The sequence below is a fragment of the Homo sapiens genome, chromosome 5 (assembly GCF_000001405.40).
Source record: "Homo sapiens chromosome 5, GRCh38.p14 Primary Assembly".
Taxonomy (NCBI): domain Eukaryota; kingdom Metazoa; phylum Chordata; class Mammalia; order Primates; family Hominidae; genus Homo; species Homo sapiens.
The window spans coordinates 171,853,889-171,879,484 of record NC_000005.10 but is presented as its reverse complement, the minus strand read 5'-3'; the positions used below and the strand labels follow the sequence as shown (position 1 = coordinate 171,879,484).

The 25,596-nt window shown below is 42.3% G+C and overlaps 1 protein-coding gene across 13 annotated transcripts in view; it reads left to right on the top strand.

Annotated features, from left to right (window-relative positions):
• FBXW11 (F-box and WD repeat domain containing 11) overlaps positions 1–17,936 on the top strand; it is a 145,090-nt gene extending 127,154 nt beyond the window's left edge. For 12 of the 13 annotated variants that reach the window (NM_033645.3, NM_033644.3, NM_001378975.1 and 9 more), the window contains 7 exons: positions 1,356–1,474; positions 2,951–3,200; positions 6,495–6,613; positions 8,627–8,737; positions 9,678–9,756; positions 10,689–10,875; positions 15,384–17,936. In NM_033645.3, the coding sequence (NP_387449.2) occupies positions 1,356–1,474; positions 2,951–3,200; positions 6,495–6,613; positions 8,627–8,737; positions 9,678–9,756; positions 10,689–10,850 (840 nt within the window). In that variant the 3' untranslated portion in view covers positions 10,851–10,875; positions 15,384–17,936. The remainder of the gene's footprint in view (positions 1–1,355; positions 1,475–2,950; positions 3,201–6,494; positions 6,614–8,626; positions 8,738–9,677; positions 9,757–10,688; positions 10,876–15,383) is intronic. The other variant, NM_001378980.1, reaches the window with a different exon arrangement.

The following is a 25,596-nucleotide window of genomic DNA, read 5'->3' as shown; positions in this document are numbered from 1 at the left end:
ATATATACCACTTAGTATTTACACAACAGAATTGAAAACTTAGGTCTACACAAAAACCTGCACCCAGATGTTTATGGCAGCTTTACCCATAATTGCCCAAACTTGGAAGCAACCAAGGTGTCCTTCAGTAGGTGAATGGATAAATAAACTGTAGTACATCTAGACAGTGGGATAATTTTCAGCACTAAAAAGGAATGTATATCAAGCCATGAAAAGACAGGGAGGAACCGTAAGTGTGTATTACTGTGTGAAAGAAGCCAATCTAAAAAGGCTACATACTGTATGATTCCAAATCTGTGACATTCTAGAAAAGACAAGTCTATGGAGGCAGTAAAAGAAGCGAGAAAAGGAACACTCAGAGTGTGAAAACAACTGTTCACAACATTTTACCTCCTTTAATCCTTTCTTCCTTTTCTAAAATATACATAGTCATTGTGTCACTTTACAGATAATTTTTGTTCTGATTTTTAAAATGCTTAACTTTGTAATAAAGCATGATATTTTCTCATTAAACACTTCATAGTTTACTTTGAGACTTTTATGAAATGCTGGACATTTCATTTTCCACTTTTTGTTTTTGTAAACGTAGGGGTATGCATTTGTAAAACCTCTTAATAGACGTTGTCATGTTGCTTTCCAGAGAGTGAGCCAATTCTTTTTCATTAATATTTTTATGAGACATAAAAATAAAATGACAAAGCAGAGTCCTGCTTTGTTGCCCAGGCCGGAGTACAGTGGTGTGATTATGGCTCACTGCAGCCTTGCCTTCTGGGCTCAAGCAATTCTGTCACCTCAGCCTCCTGAGTAGTTGGGACTACAGGCACACACACCACCACACCTGGCTAATTAAAACACACACACACACACACACACACACACACTCTCTCTCTCTTACACACACACACACACACACACACACACACTCACACACTCTTATGGAGATTGGCTTGGTATGTTGCCCAGGCTGGTCTTTTAACTTCTGGGCTCAAGCGATCCTTCTGTCTCGGCCTCCCAAAATGTTGGGATTATAGGCATGAGCCACAGCACCCAGTCAGTGAGCGAATTCTTTTCACAGATTTTATTTTTAAGAAGTCCCCTTTATGAGGCTGTTGATAAGTATACTGAGATCAATAGCTAAGGGTTCAAATTAAGCAAAATAGCACATCTATCCTAGTAGTTAATCACTATTGTCTGTATTCCTTCTTGTCATTTCTTACCTGTTTGTTATTCAGTGTTTCTTATTTACTGTAACCCAAGTGTGTTTTATTTTATAATCAGAACATAAGGTGGGACAGTAACATTCATCAAAATATAGTATAATTAATCATCGTTTGTGGCTAATCTTGTCTCAATAGATATGGGATAAAACCAGCCTGGAATGTTTGAAAGTGTTAACAGGACACACAGGCTCTGTCCTCTGTCTGCAGTATGATGAGCGTGTCATTGTAACTGGCTCTTCAGATTCTACGGTGAGGTGAGTGATCTGGCTTCATTGTTCTTAACTTGTAAGCCTTCCCTGAGAAAGTCTGAGATTGACATCCTCCTCTGGGAGAGGCATACACAAACTTACATTTTTACATGCTGTATTTCAAACTACTTTTATTGTAGACATGTTTGCGCAAATTAGGCAGGAAAGCTAATTTTTGTTAAGGGTGTTCTATTCCTATTGCTGTTCATTGTAGAGATGACAACATGCTTTCCTGTAAGAGCATATACCAAGTATTAGGCTGGCTTTCTTCTTTTGGTTATGTGGTCCAGAGCAGAGAGGAGACACTCACTTCCAGGAGTCACTCCTGGACTCTTTCGCCACCCCTGCTGGAAGCATCGCCACCCCTGCTTGAAGCATGCTTAGTATCCTCTCCTGGACTCAGTGCTTCCGTACCCCTGCTTCTGCCAGAGATCATGTCTCAGCCTCAGAGGCCTGAGTCTTTCCCCCTCTGCCCTATGTGAACTTGTCCTCTTAGGAGATGAGGGTTACAGAAAAGCCGTGATGTGGAAATGCTGCTTCCAGATCCCTGGATCTACAAAGCAGTTGGGAGACCCTGGCTTTGTCCATAAAGCAGCTGGGTAAAGAAGTGGATGCGGTGATTGATGAGGCATCATGACTTACCCAGTTTGCAGTGGATAACTGATAGACTCAGAGGCCTGTCAGAGGTCAACAAGAACTAAGCTTGGAACCATTCTCAGTTCTTCAGCCAACAAGCCTCCTTCTTCCTGTCATCTCAGACTCAATACAAAATCTACTATCTAGAGGAATCATCTTTTGCCATCAGCACGAGCCTGCAAACACCGTCCCTAAATACCTGACTGCTAAATATACCTAAACTCAGGCAGAGCCAGAATTAGCCACCTTTTCTGAAACCATCTCAGCACTTCTCAGCAAATAAAGAAATTGCTTTTAGGGGCCCCTTTTAATCATGTCCTTAGGTTCATTAAGAATAGACCCTGTCTTACTCCATTTGTATTGCTATAAAGGAATACCCGAGGCTGGGTAATTTATAAAGAAAAGGGGTGTATTTGACTCATGGTTCTGCAGGCTCTGCAAGAAGCATGGCACCAGCATCTACTTCTGATGAGGGCTTCGAGCTACTTCTACTCATGGCAGAAGGCAAAGGGGAGCCAGCATGTGCAGATCACATGTGAGAGAGAAGCAAGAGAGAGGGAGGAGGTGCTAGGAGGCTCTTTTCAACAACCTGTTCTCTCAGGAACTAAGAGTGAACTCCCTCCTATGAGAATGGCACCAAGCCATTCATGAGTGATACACCACCATGACCCAAAACATCTCCTGCCAGGCCCCACCTCCAACATTGAGGATCAATTTCAACATGAGATTTGGTAGAGTCAGACAAACTATATCCAAACCATTGCAGACCCAGACAGAGCTCAGATACCAGAATCATTTCCTGGCTGTCTCCATAATTAAGCATCATGCTTTTCTCTTCTCTCCTAGAGTGTGGGATGTGAACACGGGTGAAGTTCTTAACACATTGATCCACCACAATGAGGCTGTATTGCACTTACGCTTCAGCAATGGACTGATGGTGACCTGTTCCAAGGACCGCTCCATTGCTGTGTGGGACATGGCTTCTGCGACCGACATCACTTTACGCCGTGTCCTGGTTGGCCACCGGGCTGCCGTCAATGTAGTAGACTTTGACGACAAGTACATCGTGTCTGCCTCTGGTGACAGGACCATCAAAGTAAGTATGTCTGCAGTCATAACCCTACCTGTTCCTGTCCCTTTTAGAACAGAGACAAAGCAGAGGTGGCTTATACCAACCTGGTACCTGGCAAGATCTTTATTCTCCTCTGTGCTTATGAACCCTTGAGGCCATCCCACTCTGTATATCTGTAGAGTTGTAGGCAAGGTAGGAGGAAAAGCCATCGGTCCAGAAGAGAGAACAGTCTTCTGTTTCATGACATGAAATTCTTGATCACCTTTTTAAGGGGAAGAGTGCTAACGTGTTGATCATGTATTGTGTGTTGGGAGCTTTACATTATGGTCTCAGTTAACACTCAGCACTTTTAAGGTAGGTGTGGCCCCATTTTACACATCTGGCTCAGAGAGTAAAGGATTGTGTTGGTGATCATCACAGCTAGTTAGTGGCAGAGCTTAGATGTTTTATTTATTCACCTAATTTTGAGGACTCGCAGTGCGGTGGACTCTGGGCCGGATGCTAGGGATATGATGATGAAGAAGACATGTCCTTGCCTTCAAGAAGCTTAGCATGCGGTGAAGGGGGAGGCAGACTTGTAACAAGGAGTTGAAGTCTAGGGTGATTCCCTAGGATATGGTAAATGCAGTCCTGATTCCAATATCTCAGCTAACTTTTTTGAATTTTAGCTTTCCTATGCTTTTATAACATCTTTACCGAGATATAGTTTCCATGCCATAAGATTGAACATTTTAAAGGGTGTAATTCCGTGGCCTTTAGTACATTTGCAGCATTCTATAACATTACCATTGTCTAGTTCCAGAACATTTTCATCGCGCTCTAAAACCCTCACACTCATTAGCAGTCAGCCTGTGTTTCTTCCCAGTCCCTGGTGATCACTCATCTACCTTCTGTCTTGGGATTGGACTATTCTAAACACTTCATATAATTGGAAGAATACCTTATGTGGCCTTTTATTTCTCGCTGCTTTCACTTAGCATAATGTTTTCAAGGTTCATCCATGTGCTTTGTAGCATGTATCATCAGCTTTGTCCCTTCTTTTTTTTTTTTTTTTTTTTAAAAGTACAGATGGGGTCTTGCTTTATTGCCCAGACTAGTCTTGGACTCCTGTGCTCAAGCAGTCCTTGGCCTCCCAAAGTGTTGGGATTACAGGCATGAGCCACCACACCCAGCCAGTACTTTGTTGCTTCCAGTGGCTGAATAAAATTTCATTGTTCATCTGTTTATTAGTTGATGGACATTTTAGTTGTTTCTATTTTTTTGACTATTACAAATGATGCTGTTATAAATATTAGTGTAGAAGTTTTCATGTTTTTAATTTTCTTAGGATGGTAACTCTGTGTTTAGCTTTTTTTTCCTTTTGAAGACAGGGTCTCACTCTGTCACCCAGGCTGGAGTGCAGTAACACAGTCATGGTTCGCTTCAGCCTTGACCTCCTGGGCTCAAGCAGTCCCCCAGCTCAGGGACTCCTGAGGCTCCCACCTAAGCCTCCCGGAGTAGCTGGGAGTACAGGCACTACCAGGCCCGGCCCTTTTTTTTTTTTTTTTTTTTTTTTTGTAGAGACCAGGTCTCACTTTGTCACCCAGGCTTGTGTTTAGCATTTTGAGGAACTGCCAAACTGTTTTCCAAAGGCGCTGTACCATTTTACAATCCTGCCAGTGGTATATGAGGGTTTCAGCTTGCTCAGAAGAACCTCCTTTTCATAACCAGCACTGGATAGCACTCTTATACCTAGCCCCACAAATCACGAAGTGTGTAGCATCAGGCTTTGCATTGGATAGCTGGGAAGCTAAACAACTAGGATTTATATGCGGCAACTTACTCCCACAGTCACACCAATTGGTATGAGACCAGTGCCTGGAAGTTGAGAGGGTTTGAGCTTTATTACAAAATAGCTGTTTCATAATATCAGCATGGAGGATTTCTCCATATCCTTGCCAACACTTCCTATTATTTGTCTCTTTTATTATATCTGCCCTAGTGATTGTGCAGTGGTACTCTGTGGTTTTGCTTTGCATTCCCTTGTTACTGATGATGCTAAACAACTTGTTGTATGCTTATTGGCCATTTGTGTACCTTCTCTGGAGAAATGTCTATTTAAATCTTTTGCCCACTTTAAAAATTGGTAATTTGCCTTTTTATTATTGAGTTATAAGTTCTTTATATATTCTGGGCACAAGTCCCTTATCAGATACATGATTTGCAAATATTTTCTCCCTTTCTGTGAGTTGTCTTTTCACTTTTTTGATGGTGTCCTTTGATGCACAAATGATTTTAATTTTGATGATGTTCAATTTATCAAGACTTGTATAGTTTCAGTGCTTATGTGTAGGTCCTTGATCCATTTTGAGTTAAATTTTTGTTTAAGGTATGAGGTAGGGGTCCAGTGCCATTCTTTTACTTGTGGAGATCTATTTATCTATCCCATTCAGCTACAAATGCAGCTGGTAAGATAATTCAGGGCACTCTGGTTGCTGTGTGTCTCCTTATTTGTCTAATAATATGTTTAGCTGTCTATGAACATCTAAGTCAGATACCACAAAAGAGGGGATTATTTATTCTGCATACATACAATTAGAAGTAATGTGTCAAAACAAATGGAGCTGTTCCAGAAAATATGCTGGAAAAGAGGATGATATGAAAGGTGAGACTTTTTGTTTGTTTTTTGAGACAAAGTCTTGCTTTGTCACCCAGGCTGGAGTGCAGTGGCACAGACACAGCTCACTGCAGCCTCAACCTGCTGGGCTCAAATGATCCTTTCACCTCAGCTCCCTGAGTAGCTGGGACCACAGGTGCATGCTGCCATGCCCAGCTAATTTTATTTTTTGTAGAGATGGGGTTTCACTATTTTGCCCAGGCTGGTCTCGAACTCTTTAGCTCAAGCAATTCTCCTGTCTCAGCCTCCCAAAGTGCTAGGATTAGGTGTGAGCTACCGTACCCAGCTGGAAGCTTTTTTATTACATTAGCTCCATGGGGTTTGAAATGTCAGCTGGTGTAAAAACATAAAATCTGGCCCAAACTCTTTCCTCCAGGTAAATGAGCGTTTGAACCATTCAGGAGATGTTCTCTTTGTAAAGATCTCAAAGACTGGAGACTTCACTTCCCTCCGTGTTTCATTCCAGTGTTATTACTCAGCAGCCAAGAAAATTTTATGCTGTCTAGTCTGCCCCCCAGCCTCCCAACTTTGAGTTAGAGGACACCGTATTTTATAATCACATATTTGGGTCATTATCAGAAGCTCTGTCTTTTTAAGAAAGGTATATTGTGAGAGGACTTTCCTGTGTTCATTCTTTAAAATACTGTTAATTTGTTATACAGGTCTGGAGCACGAGCACCTGTGAATTTGTTCGTACTCTCAATGGGCACAAGCGGGGCATTGCCTGTCTCCAGTACAGGGATCGCCTGGTTGTTAGTGGATCATCAGATAATACCATTAGGTGGGTAGAAGTTGGTGTGCTGACAGAGCAGGCTGATTTTTGCCACATTGTTGACTCATCTCCTAGTTCTAATGCTCAAAACAACTCAGGGTAAATGGGATGTTTCAGATAAGAAAGCTTTAGGTAACTTTTAGAAATGTATTTGGGCTCTGTATACTCAAGTGGGAAAACCGTGTGTGCCCTGGGTGTTCTTCCAAGATTCCCCCAGTACACAAAGTTTTTTAACCTCAGCTCCACCTGGGATCACTTAATACCAGAGCACTTCAGAACAGGCTAGGGTGCTGCAGTGCAGCCCAGCTCGCTCCAATTTCCCTCACCTGTGAGCTCCCACCTCCCTACCTAACACATGGGAGTGTACTTTATTTTCCTCTCCCAAGACTGCATCTGTTCCTGCCAGGTCATTTACCTCTCTTTTTCCTTCCCAGCACTCGGCCTCCCTGCTTTCTAATAAATCTGACTAACCTTAGACATTTTGTATCTTACTAAGAACATCCCTTCAATATCTACTTCATTATCCCATGCCATTTCCCCACTGTCTCAACACACTCTAGTGGCATTACATAAGTGACTAAACTTAACTTTGGTTTATAATCAAATTGACTAATGTTTGGTCAAAATAAAGATAGGATTCAAGATTATTAAAAAAAGTTTTTTGTTTTTTAAAGGCAGGCAAGCAAACACATGCTAGTAGCTTTACATAAGTGACTAAACTTTGGCGTTTATAATTGCCTAATGTTTGGTCAAAATAAAGATTGGGTTTAAGATTATTAAAACTTTTTTTTAAGGCAAGCAAATAACAAAAAAGCTATTTAAGTTTGCTTTATCACTTTAGGCTTCAAGATACCATAAATTTAGTTTAGAGCTTAAATCTTGATTCTCTTATATTCATCATGCTTTGTGGTATTGCTTAATGTTTCATCAATAAACAGTTCTTAACTTCCTCATTGGAATTGTCAAGGTTTTACAAGATAGTAATGTGTATTACTCTCCAGCTTATAGAAGGGAACTACTTTGGAGTCATAGTGGCAGTACTGAATGGCTTTGATCACAGATTAGAGATGCTATCATCACGGGTACTAAGAAGATTTGCTAAGGGCAGCTGTAATAAAATACATTCTTTGGATGTATCATAGGAATTACTGGTAGAGAGGCTAAGAAAAAGTTATAGAATTAATTTGCTCACTTTATTTTGTACATGCTAACTAGCTATGATTTTTTTCTACAAATACTGTAGAAAATCAGTCATAATAGGAAAAAAGATCTCTAACTCCAGAATTGTTACATAAATCATATGCAGAGAAAAAGACTTGGTGTTGTCAATGGGTTTATATTTCCACCAGAACACTGCGTGTACCTAGTAAGTCTCCCACTCTGACTTTGTAAACCGTCAATCCCAGTATTCAGCATATAGTATCAAGGAAGGGGTATCCCCAAGCCTCATCAAGAGACAGCCACCTCCCCTGCTGGTCCGCCAGTTCTAACCTCAGTGGTCCTTATGGACTCCACTGTGCTAGAAGTGCCTGGGGCGGAAGCTTAACCCCCTGGCTGTACGTGATATCTCCTTTCCCACCTTGTCTCATCTGTGCTCTTTCTCCTTTACTGCCTACAATCCCTGTCTCCCCAGAAGAGTCTTTCCTACACCATTTGTCTACATGGTTTTTATCAACTCAGACATCAAGAGAATGCCTAAGGATTAAATAGAATTGAAGTTTCTTGTTTGTTGATTTTATTTAAATAGTAATACAGACGCATGATTAAAAACAGTTTCAAATCATATAAAAGGAAATAGAATAAAAAGTAAGGCTTCTTCCTAGGTTAGTGCTTGGAAACACACAGATGGTATAAATGTACACATACAGCTTTATATGTGTGGTGTGTACTGGAAGTGAGATAGAAATAAAGAGCTCCAAGATAGTGAAAAATTGTATCTGTATGGAACAGATATAAAAAACTTACGGATAGTGTGAATCGTGTGTGGGAATTTGTTTCACAGAGGTCTGTTTTTCATTCAAGGCTCTGGGATATTGAATGTGGTGCCTGTTTAAGAGTCCTAGAGGGACATGAAGAATTGGTCCGATGCATCCGGTTTGATAACAAGAGGATTGTCAGTGGGGCCTATGATGGGTATGTCTTTCAGATTTTCAGATGTACTGCTATAACTGTATCAAGAAGAAAGAGAAATGTTATATATTAAGCAACTCTGTATGTACCAGGTCCTATGGTAGGTTTCTGTGTAATGGTGGATGGCAGGTATTATTATACCTGTTGTTTAGGTGAGGACACTCAGGCCCAGAAAGAAGAACTAAATCTTACCCCAAATCACACAGAGGGAGAGTCACTGTGGTTCCTAAACTTAGCTTTGAATCATCGCTGTCAACTCCAGCAATAGCTTAGGTTTCAATAGTTGATGTGGGGGTATTGACTTCTTTGCTTTATCCCTAAATTAAGCCAGGCTCTTTGTGTGTGTGTGTGTGTGTGTGTGTTCGTTCAACAATAAGTTTCTTCTTTTCCCTTTTTTTCCCTTTTTGGTAAATTGAACAAACCCTCTTTAAAACACCTCACTACATTTTAAATGAGCAAATGGCAACTGTAAATCTTTCCAGATGACCTTATATATACTTCCCAAATGGGTTAGTTGGTCTGTTTGTACTCCTATTACTAACTTCCAGCATTTGCTTAATTTGGAGAAAGGTATCCTTGGAATTTCACACAGAGCCCTAGCTTCTGTCAGCAGCACCTACTCAGCCCTAGAGAGTCCCCTGATGAATGAATTTGGTGACATAGGTTATCAAGTCCGGAACTGAATTTAGATAACCTGAAGTTGTTTTCTTATCTCCCTTAAAATAATATTTCTTTAAAATTTCAGCAATTCTGAGAATGTGTAGGTTCTTAATTTTTCCAAAATCAAGTGTAATTGGTTCAGATGATTTGTAAAAACATAAGCATGTTCCCCATTAGCTTTTATAAATAGGCAGTTCAGATGCACTACTTTTTTTCAAGGAAATGTTTGACAGCATATAAATTGTTCACTTTTCCACTAATCACATCTCATTTTCCTTTCTAGGAAAATTAAAGTTTGGGACTTGCAAGCTGCTCTTGACCCTCGAGCCCCAGCAAGCACATTGTGTTTGCGCACATTGGTGGTATGTGATCTCTTGAGACGGGAATTGGTTCCCTGTGCTGGAGGATGACCATTTGCAGATAGTCCTGTCTAGGTGTATCACAGGAACGCTTGTGTGTCTCACAAGATGCCTTCAGAGAATTTCAGTCTTCATTTTGTTTAGCCAAAACCAGAGAATATTTGATGTTTACATTACTGTGAGCACTTTCCTAAGGGGAGACATAATGCAGCTTAAGATATGAAGGCAGGCTTCCTGATTTGTAGGTGGACTGGTTTCCTCATAGGGCAAGCAATATTTCCTTCTTGTAGGTTTGGAAGATTTCTTAATATGGCTATTTGTGGTTATGTTTTAATAACAGCACATTTTTATACTATATATAAATTTTTATACCATTTATAAGTACTGTTATATTTTTGAAGAGATAGTCATTTGGAAATATTGGTAGATTTAAAAAAGATTTTAGTAGTTTTATTTCTGTTTCTTCACTTCTTGCATTTACTAGAAGATGCAGAACTGTCTTCTTGATTTTAATGGGAACTCTTATATTATTATTTCACCATGAATTTTGATGCTGGCAGCAATTTGAGGTAGATCCTGGTCATGTTAAAACAAACTGTCTTTCTGGTTCTAGGTTTTCCAGTGGATTTTTAGAGTGTATCAAGAATGGGTATTATGTATTGTTGTTTACTTTTATAAGGCCCTTTTTGAGATGATCTTTGAAATATTGGTAGACTAGAGTCTAAGATACAAAGTTTAATGAAAGAAAAGGCCTAGCAGGAAAAGAAAGAAGAACATTTGTTCTTGGGATGAAGGACACAGTTCAGTGAGCTCTGTACAGTCGTTTAGGAAGTCTGTTTAAGTGGCTGCATTTTCATCTTCTGCCCAGTTTCTCATTGTGAGATATCAGGGGCTGTAAAGATCTCATTTTATTCATGAAGTTTTGTATTTCATAGGAACATTCTGGACGTGTGTTTCGGCTCCAGTTTGATGAGTTTCAGATCATCAGCAGCTCCCATGATGACACTATTTTGATTTGGGATTTCTTAAATGTGCCTCCCAGTGCCCAGAATGAGACCCGTTCTCCCTCCAGAACATACACTTACATCTCTAGATAACAGTCTGCACTTTCACCCGTTTCAGGTGAGTACTATCCTCTCCCCTTCCAATTTTGCTGATTGAATTCACCTTCCCTTTGGGGAAATTTTGTGATTTGGGTTCCTTGGTGATGTGTGAACCAAGGTCTCTCTTAGACGTGTCAACTTTTGCAGAGTTCAAGTGTAAGGCTGGATCTTTATAGTCACATCCATACAAGGCTTGAGTTGGAATCCTGCCTATTGTGTGGGTTTTCATCTTGGCAGATGATGAACATGGTTCCTGTTTTTAAAAACTGTTCCTAAATGATTTCTTAGGTCATAATCAATTTAACACCAGTAAAATGTCTTGAATTTTATTTTGGGGTACAAGAATCTTCTTTTTCTCTTTCTTTCCTGTCCTTCAGTTCTTTTATTAAAAAAAAAAAAAAAATCACCATCTGACAAAACATTCAAAATCCCTCTCTTCCCCACTACCACAATCCACCCACCACCATCCTTTCCTCAAGGATGAATCAGAGAAGAGTATCTGTTGAGAGACCCCTAAAACCTATTCTGCTTCCATGAAACACAACAGATACACTGAGAAGCAAAGTCCTTTCCTCTGGTTACAGGAACACTGAAAGTCATTATAACCATTGATGACAGAATGTTTTGATTATTACTAAGCGTGTTCAGTCTGGAAGATGAGAAGTCTTACTTGGCTGTGTCCTAGGAACTGATGACTTAGGAACAGTATTGACAACTCTGTGTTCTGCTGAGGGCCAGTGAATTCTATACACATTAAACTTTGTAGATTGAATAAATGTTTACATATAAACATACTACTATGGATATATGTATATAAAGACTGTTGTGATTAATAAAATTTGTATTTATTTAAAATCGTTACTTAATTCTTAGTGGTCTTTTATCATTACATATTTTCCTGTTCATTGAATTTCAAAAGTATAAGAAAGTCCATGTGCAGAATTAGGAATTTTTTTGATGGAGAGATTGAGAACTCTTGGTACCTATTCACTAAGTTACCATCTTTTCAGATACTCTTTCATCAAGATTCCAAGATCCAATAAATAGAACTCCACCAGGAAGTTTGTCTTACCTAGAGGTCAAGAAACTATATAACCAGGGGCCAAAATTAACTCACTACCCGTTTTTTTTTTTTTTAATTAGTCTCTGCTTATCCATTAAGTTTTTTTTTTTCCTGTCTCCACAGGCTAAGAATAGTTTTTACATTTTTAAATGCTTAAAAAAATTAAAAGAATTTTTTTCATGACATGCAGTAATTAAATGAAATTTAAATTGCAGTGTTCATAAATAAACATTTGTGCTACACAGCCATGCTCATTCCTTTATGTATTGTCTGTGGCTGTTTTTGTGCTTCAGTGGCAGAGCTTAGTAGTTGCAACAGAGACCTTATGGCCTACAACATCTGAAATATTTACCATATGGCCCTTTCAGAAAAAGTTGGCTGACTTCTGGTCTTGCCCCTGCTCCATCTATTAGCGGTAAACCAAGGGTCTACATCAGGAATGGCAAATAAGTGTTTTCTTCATGCCAACTCAGTTTGGTCAGTAGTGACTGGTGGGTGTGTTGCCTTTGGAAGGATTCTGGGACCCCACGTGGACCCCAAAGGACTGGTTGTGGTTGGTTATGTCTGCCTTGCAGGAGTGACCTGTAAGCCACTTACCTATTTGCTATTATGGGTCTCGAGTGTGTTCAGACTGTTCCTGATCATAATCTTCTGCCCTGCTGCTTTCTTTCTGGATAGATGCTTCATAAGTCAGTTGAAAAATCCACGTGGCAGAATTACTGTAATTATTGAATGGAGCTTTAAAATAGGAATTACAGAGGAAGGAGACAAGGATCTCTTGAGTGATTGCTCCTCCCCCTGACCTCCCCTCCCAATAAGCCTAAGAAAATATAGGGAAGGAGGAATGGACCCAAGTAAAAACTGCTTAAAGAGGCATATGGCAAAATTCAAGACATCCATATTATGGTTTTCTTTTTCTGGTGTATTACAATAGATGAACTGACAACATCTATATATTACCTAAAAGTGCCCTGAACAAGATTCCTTTGGTTGAGAGATGAAGCAGTGATCACCAATGCTGTTTCTTATTGGCTGTGGTAGAAAGGAAACTTGTGTTACTTCCTCCAGGCCCTCCCTCCTACCTACCTTTTTTGGAAACCTCAGAACAACTGCCTAGTTGTGATCAATTATAAGTCAATGGAAAAATCTTATCTGCTTAAGCTGGAGGTTCCCTGTATCCCAGCACAAGCAGTGAGACCACAAATGTGTTTGTCTCTTCAATTTTATTACTTTTAACAACCTTGGCAGTCAACTTTATAGATTTTACTGCTCTTTTCTAATTTTTTTTTTTTTTTCCCTTTGAGACAATGTCTTGCTCTGTCACCCAGGCTGGAGTGCAGTGGTGCAATTTTGGCTCACTGCAACCTCCGCCTCCCAGGCTCGGGTGATCCTCTTGCCTCAGCCTTGCAAGTAGCTGGGGCTACAGGCATGTGCCATCACACCCAGCTGATTTTTGTATTTTTAATGGAGATGGGGTTTCACCATGTTGGCCAGGCTGGTCTCGAACTCCTGACCTCAATTGATCTGCCCGCCTCAGACTCCTGAAGTGCTGGGAATAAAGGAGTGAGCCACCGCGTGCGGCCCCAAATGCTTTTCATTTATTGTAACATGAAAAAAATTATAGCCATGTGATACCATAAGATTTATGCATAATAAGAAACACTACCCTAATGATGATTTAACCTTGCAGTAAAATACTCACCCGTAAAATATCAGGTGAGAGTCTCTCCATGTCAGCAAATGCAGCAGTAGATCTATCTGCGGAGTCGTTTTTAAAAAAATTAGTAACATCTAAGAGCTGTATGTTGTATTATATATTCAGTAGCTCAAAATTTATTGTTTTTTCTTACTACAAGACAATATAAGATCGTTATTAGGAAATTTGAAAAAGTAGATAAGCCAAAAGAAGAAAGTAAACTCCTGCTCGTGGTTTACCACTAACTCCTTTTTATAGATCCTTTCAGGCTTTTTAAAATGACGCTTTATAACTGTACATTTTCAAATGTGTTTTTCTTCTTTATTGTGAAATGCTTGCATGTTAGTAATGTATTTGTCCAAATTATTCCTAATTGCCAAATTATATTAGATTGTTTGGATATGCTCTGTTGTTACATATTTATCCTCCCCAACCCCCAGTTTTTAGTGATTATAAAAAACAATGCTATGATCATTCTTTTAACCTAATATTTGTCCAACCCTTTATCATCTTTGGAGGGATTCTGGAAATGTCTGGAGGGTCTGGGTTAAAAGGTATCACGTTTGAAGACTTTTTTTTTTTTTTTAATTATACTTTAAGTTCTAGGGTACATGTGCGTATGTAGGTCATTTTGCCCTCCAGAAGAGTTCAGTCAGTTTATGCTCCCCTCAGCAGCATTTGAGAGTGTCCACTTCTGGTCCTGGGGCATTAATGTTTTTGAAATAATTCAGGTTCCCTTAAATATCCTTAATGGGAAAACAGTAGCAAATGAAATTGAATCTTAAATTCATTGAGAAGACTTAAGATTCTTGATCTTTGTGTAAATTGACAACTTTCTGGGAAAATCACCTTTTAAAAAAAGCATTCAAGCTTTAAAAAGTCTCTCTTGCTTTTTTTTTTTTTTTTGCCACCTAAGGTGACTTTAGACTTTCTGGCCAGTGGTTTAGTGCATCACTTATTGTGACAGTATCTGAGTGGGTTTTGACTTTATTTTGATTTAGAATAGAAAATGTCAGCCTGCATTGTATGTAAAAATGATAAATATTGTGAATATCAGTATTCTCATGAATATTGTTTTTTTGTGTGTGTGTGTACATATTTACATACATGATGAATGTAGAAATTGTGATTAAAATGTGTTTCAGACTCAAAGCCATAGTCAAAAAATTATGGAACATTCAGTGGCCTTTCCCCCATACTGTTGTTGTTTTACCAATGATTTACTTATTAAAAAGGAAGTAATTTCTGATTACTAGCATTCTATTTTAGAAAGGCTAATTTTTGCATATTTTTGTTTCCTTGTGATCGATGAGGGCTCTCGTGAGGATGTGAGACTGGCCTCTTGTAGGTTCTGAATGTCATAAAAGATTATGCTAAATATAAAATCGAATGTGAAGCATCTTTTGTTATATGTGTACTTTTTCAGAGCAGTACTGAGAGAGTGATAGGTTATAGGGTCAGCCCTCTCCTTGAATCCCCTCTCTGTCACTTGTTGACTCTTTGAACCAAACACTTAGCCTTTCTGAGCCTTAGTTCTCTTATTTGTGAAGCAGGTGTCATAATAGTTTCTTCCTCACAGGATTGTTGTGAGGTTGAAATAAATGTGATACCTGGTATGTAGTACACTCAGAACAACTTACAGCTTCTGCTGTTAATGCTAATAAGTTTTGCATGTAGCTGTGTGCAGGGGGTGGAGTGGAGTGTGTGTATTCTCATCTAAACGGAATGTTCACCCACACTCCCTTTGCTTCTGTTTTTCTTTCCTCAGGGTTTTCTAGTCTTGAACTACTGGCTACGTGGCTACCAAATGCCTAAGGGAGTTCGTTCACAGCTGAGTTATGAAGCTGGAATTGGTTCTAGACGCTGGGTAGATGCAAAGCAGCCTAACTCTTCAAGTACCGACATTTCTCACCTCTGATTCCGGCTCTCCTTTGAGAAGGAGACCTTAGCTTCCCCGGCTTCAAGTAGAACAGAAGCCCGTTTCCTTCCCTCATCAGTGAAAAAATCTAATGTTTCAAATGTAAATTGTTCATAGAAAAGGAACATAGAATCTGTTTTACAGAAGTAAATCGACCGTCAAGAGAAGACTTGGCCTCTAATTTATATTGCTTTGCACTTTGGTTTGATATTAAGAAACAGCATTCTTCTTCAGTGAAATTTTGGGTGCCAAACACCTACCCAGAATGTCCAGGGCTTTCATTTTCAAAAGTTAGCATTCTCCTTTTGACCGTCCAAGTCATTATGAATTCTGACTTGTTGTATTAGGAACATGTTGGACAGTGGAAAATTTTCTCTGGATTGTTTTAGTAATATTTTTGGGATTATACTTCCTTTCTGTACCAATTTCTTTTAATTTAAAGAACTATAAGTCAGTTATATTATCTACCAACAGGTAATATAGCTCTTTCTTTTATTAACTGTTCTCTGTCCCCCAACCATCTCCTGATATTTGGTAGAGTAACACCTTTATACGTGTGCTTGCCTCCTAATTTAAAATACTGTATTCGCATGTAGATATAATGTACATAACAGTTTAACCTCAAAGTTGCTGGAGTCAGGGCCCCCTGTGCTTGAGACACTAATACAGAGTGTGTTCGCACTTAGCCATGGGCTGGGCTCAAGAACCTGATACCTGGGTTGATGTGGATTACCTAGAACCCTTCCTGCAGTATTCATACAGTGTTTTTATTTTGTTGTTGTCATTGCGTGTGTGTGGTTTGTGTGTGTTTTTAATGAGAATCTTGTTTTAAAATGTAATTTCTAAGGTTTAACACCAAAATGTTTTATTTGTTGTGGAGTATATATTATACAATAGAGAGGTACCTTAAACATTTTTTGTTCTTATTCTTTTTCTCATAAGTACTCCTGAGTACAAGTGGTCACCTCCCATAGTATTCATTTGGCTTCGCTGTCAAAAATCATTATTCTGTGCAGTCGTGGCCCTGGGAAGGGGAAATAAGAAGGCCCTGTTGACGGGCTGTCTTGGCTCTGGAATTCATGCATCCTGGCCTTGCCAAGGTTCTGGCAGGGCCTGCTGGTGTGTTGGAGCCTGCAGGGCAGGTCAGGCTGGTTCAGAGGCCCATGCTGAGGGGTGGGTGCTCTGAAGTGGAGTGAAGCCTCAAGCCCATGAATGCCACCCCAGTCATCTCTGGTGTCAGCTGCTGCTGTGGCCCCAGCAGGTTCTCAAAGCTCCCAAGTCCTCCCTACGACACAGCCCAAATGTGTAAATGGCACTGTTGCCCTGACAGTGCATGGAAAGGACGTTGGCATCCAATTGGCACTCCTTCTCCCTTATTCAATATTAGGTTTGATTTGCCCTTCGCCATTGTTTCCAAAGATCAAGGAATGTCAATAACATTTTAAAGGACCAATAAACAGCCTCCTATAAAGTAAACCTCTTCCCGTGGAAGCACACTCTACTACTAAAGGGAAGGCCCTGGGCTCTGATTTGTCCTTTGCATTGAGAACGGTGTGGGGATCAGTGTGTGTGTATGTGATTTGTTTATTGAGTTGGCTTTGCTTTTTTAGTTTTTCTTTTAAAAATAAAATCCTTCCTTCCCATGTTACTAAATTAATTTATGTTTTTGAGAGGTTGAGTCTCAAAGTGTAAACAATAAACCTCCATTCATAAGGTGGATGTTGTAAGCTTGATGGTGGTTGTGAAAGTGATTTAGCTTTGACCACTTTTCATCCTACAGCTTCAATATCAAACTGGTTAGGAAAGCCCAGGGGGAAGGGAGGGGGCAGGGGAGGAGGCAATTCTGAATGAATGAATGGATTTTTTGTTGTTTTTGCATGTTTAATATAGAAGTTCCCCTCGTTCCTTGGGAGATGATGGCCTTTGAATATGCAGACAACCTTTGAATTGTGCCTACTAAATTATAGCAGGGGACTTTGGCACCCAAGGAGTTCTGACTTTCTGGGATTATAATAGTAATTCCCAGCCATACTCTGGACTTTATTTTGCTAACCATAACTGAGCAAATGTAAATTACTGCTATATTAATGTTTTAAAGCACTGGGATAGTCTAATTCTAACTTGTAATTAATTATGTTTGCCAATTATCTGTTTGAAATAAATTTGTGTCTGAACAGCTATTGAAACTGTTAAATTGTACAGATATTATTCATGACAGCTTTGTACTGTGGAATGTGCTTAATAAAAAACAAAAAAGTTTGACTTTTGTCCAGTAAATTGCTAAGTAATGTCAATAAATCGAGTATGGGTATTATGCAGTGCACCTAATCTGGCTTCATGCAATTGTTACTTCAGCTACTGATTCAAAGCCAATACTCTTAATAAAGTGTTGCAATACTCTGACGTTCTGTTAAGAAATTTTTCAAAGAAACTGTTAAGTGCTGTTAGGAATTCAGTGACATACAATTAAAATTTATAGATCTTTAGAATCATCTGTTCTGTAAAATGAGTTTGAAGGCAAACTGGTTTTGGCGTGTGAGAATGTTGTAGTAGATGATATGATTCCTTGTCTTGGGCTTTTGCCGAAAGCTAGCTTGAACTTCAGGAGTTAGCTGAGGGCTAGCTAAGAACTCTTGCCCTGCAAATCTGCTTCCCACACATAATTAATTGCTTCACAAGTTACTGTCAACATGAAAATGGCCTCTGAGACATCCCAAGTGGCTTTCAGGTGTGAGTGGATCCTCCCCTTCTTGAAGAAGGGCCATGGAGGTGTGAGGGGCAGTTTCGCAGCCCTCTCCACCATAGCATCAGAAATGAATAGTTTTGTGTGTGCAAGTGTGTCACTGGTAGAGTATTGAAGCAGAAAAAGTCGAGTTAGTATCTGTAGGATTCTACTCAGAAATTCTATTCAGTAGGACTGAGTAGAAGCTGAGTTTTTTTGATAGCTAGGCTAAACTTCCCCCATTAGTCAACCCAGTTGGTAATGCGGACTTTTTGCATGAGATTAGAGTATTTCTATGTAATTGTTCCCACCCGTTTTTCTTGTAGAAAACGTTTTTCAAATGTGTCATGCATGTGGTTAAGAGAACCAATTTACAAATCACAAAAAGATAAGAGTAAAAAGTAATTTTTCCTCTCCCCCTTAACCCCCAGTCCCTCAAATGATGGTTAACCAGTTTCTTTCATGTCCTTCAATAGATACCCTCTTTTCTATACACAGCTTGCTCTTCCAGCCGGTGAAGACTCTGGGAGCTTGTCTTGTAGTGCTAAGATATTGGGGCTCCTGCTGGCTTGTTGCACAGAGCTGAATCCAACACTTTGTAGGCACTCAGTCAGCATCTGTGGGATGACTGAGTATATGGCCATCTCAAGGTGTTTACCTGCCCACAGATAGGACGACGGACCCCATACACCAAATGCACTAATTCAGTAATTTAAAAATTATATTGGTTAGGTGTAGCCATGTGAAAGATTTGTAGGGCAGGTCATAAGTAACTTTTTCTTAGTGCGTGCCAGGTAAACTGGAAAGTAGAATCCTATAAATGAGATTGTACATTATTTTCAGCTTTGTGGTCATCTGCTTATCCTTTCTCTAGGAATTGTTTGATTTTATTGCTCAGAGTATGTGAGTTATTACTGGACTGGCCTGGGAGAACCTGGAAATTACAAGGCCAAAGACTTGAGTGGGGACAGATTTAGGAACAGCTTAAACTTGATGTTCTGGTGAGATCTCAGTGTGTACAACTTAAGCTGTCTCTACCCTTCACCACCACCTTCAGATCCAGTGGACTTTGCCATTTCTCGCAGGCTGTGTTTGTACTTCCAAATACCACCAACGCAGGGGATTGGGAAGGATTATTTTTTTAAGCATCTAGCTCTGTTGCCCAGGTTGGAGTGCAGTGGTGCAGTCATAGCTCACTGCAGCCTCGAACTCTAGGACTCAAGGGATCCTCCTGCCTCAGCCTCCCAAATTGCCGAGATTACAGGCTTGAGCCATCACGCCCAGTGGGAGGGATGTTCTTAGAACACCATTGAGACCATCCTGTGGGGGCCACTTCTCTACCGAATGGCAGAGAGGAAAGAGCCTGGGCTTTGGGGCCCAGAGATCTAGCTCAGGATTGGAGCCCTGCCACCTAATTGGCAGCAGGTCCCACGGGCAAGGGCATTTATTATCCTGAACCCAAACTCCTCAGCTGGGGAGCAGAGACAGTGTTTTAAGATTACTATGGGGATGAAATGACATCTCTAAAGTGCCTAGCACAGTGCCTTGCAGCTTCAACTTAGACATTTAAACAAAGGGAACAGAATGCTCAGAGGGGAGGAAGGGACAGGAGTTAGTGGAATCTGGGGTGTCGTGCTGTCAAATAAACGTGCTCAGGCAAACCTGAAGCCTGTCTGGACCTCTTGAGGGGAAATACAGGAGCTGACCCTGAGGACTGGTCCCAATGAGGACTTGAGTTTGTAATCAGGGCCTGGTTTGTTCAGTGGGTGGAAGAAAGGGAGATGGGCCAGTGAATAGGTTTATACTGAGTTATATTTGTTAGTTTTATTATTACAAATAATTATAAAGGTAGTCAACCTATCATATCCCCAGCTAGTATTTCTGGGAAGAGAATGAGGTCTAAACATGTCACTGTCCTCAGTGAATTGTATTGTCTCCAGAGGGGACGGGAAAATTTCATGCCTTCAGGGTGTGTATAGGTGGTGGGTGATGGTGGGGAAGAGGTTGGATCATGCCAGCTACAGCAAGAATGAAGATAAGTGAGTGAATAAAAAATAAAGATTCGTGGGTGCCAGGCTGCTGGTGAGGGCTTTGTGTACTCTCATCCTTCCAGTAGCCCTGCATGGTTTATGTTCTTACCGTTTTATGGTTGAAGATACTGAGGCTTGGATCTGTCTTTGGGAGCGGCTGAACTTAGTGTTGATTCTGGTCTGCCTTGGGGGCCACAGCTGGCCTCTTAGCGCGCTGCCCTAGCATCTCCCTCTTCATGCTCCGTGGGCCCCTGGATGCCCGCAGAGTCTCTCTGAAGAGCCAGGCTCAGACTGTGTGGTCCCTTGGCACCCACAGACCCTCTGCCCTTCTCTTCTCCCCTCCACTGATATGTCCCTGGCATATGTTCTTGGTGTGTCTTCAACAGTGCACAAAGTGCGATGGAGTGCAAGGGGCCGGACAGGTGCAGGGGGACCCGACTGTGGCCGGCCCTGTGGGCCATTCTGAGGGGTGGGGGCTCCATCCTGGGGGCAGGGGCAACCACTGGCTGGTTTTAGGCTCAGGAGTGACCAATTAGAAAGCTAGAGTTAAGATTCAGGAGAGAGATGCTAAGGTCCAGAATAGGGAACATGAGGAGGTGAGAGAGGGTGTTGGGAGCCACGGGGCTTAGTGTGGAGGGAGCTGGAGGCGCTGACAACAGCATTCATATTCAGTGCGTGTCTCCTGGGTGCCACTAGATGGGGCTATAATGGAAGAAGACACAAGGTCCCTGCTCTCAGGAAGCTTCCGTTCTAGAAGAAAGAAACAGTGCGCAGTGATTGCTGTAGTGTCCACAAACATGCATTTACAAGATAAATTCAGATAGTGTTGATTGCCGTGAAGAGGTTACACTGGGCAGTGGTTAGGTGTGGCCTGGGGGACGTTGGATCCAAGATCTCAATAAGCAGGCGCTGGTCATGCACTGAGCTGGGACAGGATGATGTTCTAGGCTGCGGGCGTGGACACACGCCAAGGCCTTGAGGTGGGGATTTCTGGAGTGGGCAATGGGCTGCAGGGGTGTCCAGCTCTCCCAGATAAGGGAATTGGGGTTGATCCGGGGGGTGGAAGGGGGATGCATTTGGATGTGGACATTGGAGGGGCCCCAGAGAGGTTTGAGTGGAGCCCCTGGGCTGCCTAGAAGAGAAGGAGAGAAGTGGTGGTTTCAGAAGAAAGAGCCCAGAGGAACATCTGCATTTAGGAAAGGGGCACGGGAGGACAAGCCTGTGACAAAGGTGGGAAGGAGCAGCGGGAGAGGCAGGAGCGTGATACCCAGCAGTCTTTGCAGGGCCTGTGGACGCTCTCAGGACTTGGAAACTCTCTTTTGCAAACACTTGCCTCCAAGCTGCCTGGGCCTCCTGGGGAACAATGCCTGTCCACTAATCACACCGCAGGACACCTAATCCCGCTTCACACTTCTTCCAAGACAGCACCACACTCTCCTAACGGCCAGGGCTCTGGCAGCAATAACAAACAGGCGCCCGGGAATAGCTTCTCCACTCCGGCCCTTGCCTGGCTTGTCCTTGGGAACGCTCCCTGCAGCCCATCTGCACAAACAGACGGGGGCCAGGTCTGTGCCTCAGGAATGAAGAGATAAAAGGGACCATCGGGGCTTTTTCCACCAAAGGCGAAAGCATTTTATTGAACGGGCTGCGAGTTTTTGTTTCAGGAAATTTCATCATGTCTCCAAGAAGAGGAGGGGGAAAAAAGAGAGAGAGAGAGAGAGAGAGAGAGAGAGAGAGAGAGAGAGAGAGGTGGGCAAGGGGAGAAAAAGAGAGAGAGAGGGAGAGAAGTTAATTGGCCTCAGATTTTCTCACTCCCTTTTCATGTTGGTAACACGAGGCAGCCCAGGTCAGACTCAGGTCAGCGACGTTTGGGCTCTTTAGTGCCCCTCTGTGAATACCTCATTTCTGTAATAGTTTTTCCTTTAAAAACAGCTCTGCCTTCTTTGGCAGATGGTGACATTCCATTAGCATATGGAATATTTTTCAAAACACATCCGAAAGCATGTCTCTTACGGAGGAGACTGGGCAAAGCGAACGAATGTCTGAAAAGTATGTTGGGAGCAACTCAACATTTAACAGAAGGCCTCACTCCCGCCTTCGCCCCCGGCCTCTCCATAGTCTCTCCTGGGTTGTTACCGTAACCAAAAGGAGACAGGAGGATGTTCCCCAAAGCTTAGTCTGTTGGCTTCCCTGGGACTGTCCCAGTATACAGGGTAGCTGGAGGGAGGCTGAACCCAGGATAAGAACATGATTCTTGGCCTGGATTGGATGTTGGCAAACCATGTGGATGTGGCATTGGGGCAGTGACGGATATCTTGCACACTGAGCACCTATTATGTGCTAGACGCTGTGGGTAACATACATTATGGTCTTTCCTGCTGAAATCCATCTAGCACACAGTGGGCACATGTCAGAGCATGTCACCCCCCTGCCCAGTACTCCCCAGTGACTGCCACTGTGCTTAGAATCAAGTTCAAACTCCTTGTTATGGTCTGCAGTAATCTGAGCCTTCCCTGCTTCCATGCCATTTTATGTCATGCTTTCCTCTCTCACTCCCACTCCAGCGACATGAGCTTTCTTTCCGTTCTTTTTTTCTAGCTCAGGGCCTTTGCACGCACTGCATGCATTTCCCCAGCTATTTGCACGGCTGCTTCCTCATCATTCAGGTCTCAGCCCAAGTACTGCCCCCAAAGAGGAGGCTTCTCTGACCAGACAATCTAAATTATCCCACATTACCCCCTATTGCATCCTGCGTTCCACTTACTCTATAGTACTTACCATTACTTTATTTGTTGACTTGTATTTATTCAAGACACATTTATTGAAGGCCTACTATGTGCTGGGTGCTAAGCTAGGCCGTGACAAAACGGACAAATATCCCTGCCTCCAGGAAGCCTACGTTATGACACAGCAAGGCGGATGAGGAACAAATGCCATGCTTCTTGACTTTCCTTACCAGAAATGTCACCTGAAGTACCAGGACCTTGTTTGTCTTGTTCAGAGACCATTTTGGGAAGTGGTAATCACAGAGCTCAAGAAATTGTAGTTAAACGAAGAACTGAGCCCACATTTTATAAACAATTGCATTGAGGCATAGACAGGAAGTGGCTTTCAAGATTGCTCCGCTAGTAAAACAGCAGAGCCAGGATCTGAACCTTGCTCCTTCTGACGCTGAGGCTGGCCATCCATGCCGCCTGCCCGGCCCAGGCATCTTGCCAGGTGCCTTCCCCACTACTTCCTTCTCCTCAGCCCAATATCTAGGTCCTCCCCCACTCCCTACATCCCAGCTGGCTTATCCCGGGGCTGTTCTCTAGCATCCTGCTCTCAGTAGGGTGACTTGCTGTCTGCAACACGTTGGGTAACATCCTTTGACTCTTTGAGCCCCAGTTTCCTCGTCAAAATGAGAATATGAGCCACAGTAGATCTGCTAAGGCACATACAATTCTATTATCCTGGCTTCTGACCAACCCCTCTGTAAATTACGTTCAATAAGAGGTGATAAATAAGAGGTTAAAAAATAATTTTGATTTCTGCAGTCCCAACTGAATAGCAATGACCCATGTAGTCTCAGCTGCTTCCTCCTCTCAGACCAGTATTCCCAGCCCTCCACTCTGCTCACTCTATTGATCCAGGGCTAGAAGTCCCATTCAACTGGCTTCTGCAAAGAAGGGCGTTTATTGGCTTGTGTCACACATACCCAAGGAATGGGCTGGTCGCAGGCATGGCTGGATCTAGGAGCTCCAACTGTGTCATCAGCTCTTGGGCCTCACCTCCTTGCCTCTCTGTCTGGCTCTCCTTTCTCACAGTTTCATTCTAAAGCAGGCTTGCTTCCACATGGTATCCAGGTGGCTGCCAGCAGCCCCAAGAGCATGTCCTATCCTTTGAGTGTCTCTGGTGGAGCAAAATCTCTTCCCAGCAGCCGCAAGAGCATGTCCTATCCTTTGAGCATCTGTGGTGGAGCAAAATCTCTTCCCAGCAGCCCCAAAGAGTCATGGGACTAAGTGTCCTTGGCTCAGGTAGAATCATGTGCCCACCCTTAAAACCCACGGAAATAATCCCTGGTGGTCAGGGTTGGGGTCGACCCCACACAAACCACACGGGCTGAGAATGGAAGGGAGGCAGATCCCCAGAGGATTAGGATTCTGGGGTCCAAGCAAAAAGGGGAATGGAGGCTGGCCAGTGTCCCCTGCTGCTGCCACTAGGCACGCCTTTTCCTGTGGGAAATGACTACTTTTGCATGTTCGTCAAGGCCTAGCTCAAATATCACCTCCTCCCTGGTCCACAGAGCAGGAGCTAAAAGCCCTCAGCCCCTGAACTCTTTTTGAGCCGTTTTCACTTTCTCTTTGGTATTTTAGCTTTTAATGTGCACGAGCAGAAAGGGTCAAAATAGTCTGCCTTTGGGGTCAGAAAAGTTTGGGTTTGAATCTCATCGACGCTCTTCAGGGGTAAGGTGACCAAGGACAGGGCGCGGCTCCTTTCTAATCAGTCCTCCCTCCCGGACCTGCTCGGAGCATTCAGTGAGATGAAGTGAGCCCAGCCAGGGTTTATGGAGGACTTTTGATTTCTTCCATGCCAGGACCCATGTTTTGGTCCTCTCTGTGTCTTCAGCCCCAGTCGCAGGTACTAATAACGCAGATGTGTTGAATGAACAAACTCCTGGATTCCAGAACTTTGGGCATGCAGTGGAGTTTCCCCTTTCATGATGCTCAGATTCTAAAGTGAGCACTGCAGGTGGAAAACCATAGAGTCCAAGATGCTTGAAAAACCCTTAAAATGTGGCTTCAATACAGTACACAGTGTGTATGGATGGGACCCAGTGCAGTGATTCCTGCACCCATTGAGAGTTTGAGTACCATCAAGCTGGCCAAGGGCAAAAAGAGAAAAGTCTACATGCAAGCACTCAGTCATGCAAATGATTCTGCTTTTAAACTAACTATTGGGAGGGATAGGGAAGTGAGAAGGAAGAGGGAGACAAGAAAAGGGTAAATCCTAAATTTTAAATTGCCTGCAAGTTTCATTCCATTCGCTTTTTTTTTTTTTTTTTTTTTTGAGATGGAGTTTCACTTTTGTTGTCCAGGCTGGAGTGCAGTGGCACCATCTTGGCTCACTGCAAACTCCGCCTCCCAGGTTCAAGCGATTCTCCTGCCTCAGCCTCCCAAGTAGCTGGGATTATAGGTGTGCACCACCATGCCCAGCTAACTGTGTATTTTTAGTAGAGACCAGGTTTCACCATGTTGGTCAGGCTGGCCTTGAACTCCTGACCTCAAGTGATCCACCCACCTTGGCCTCCCAAAGTGCTGGGATTACAGGC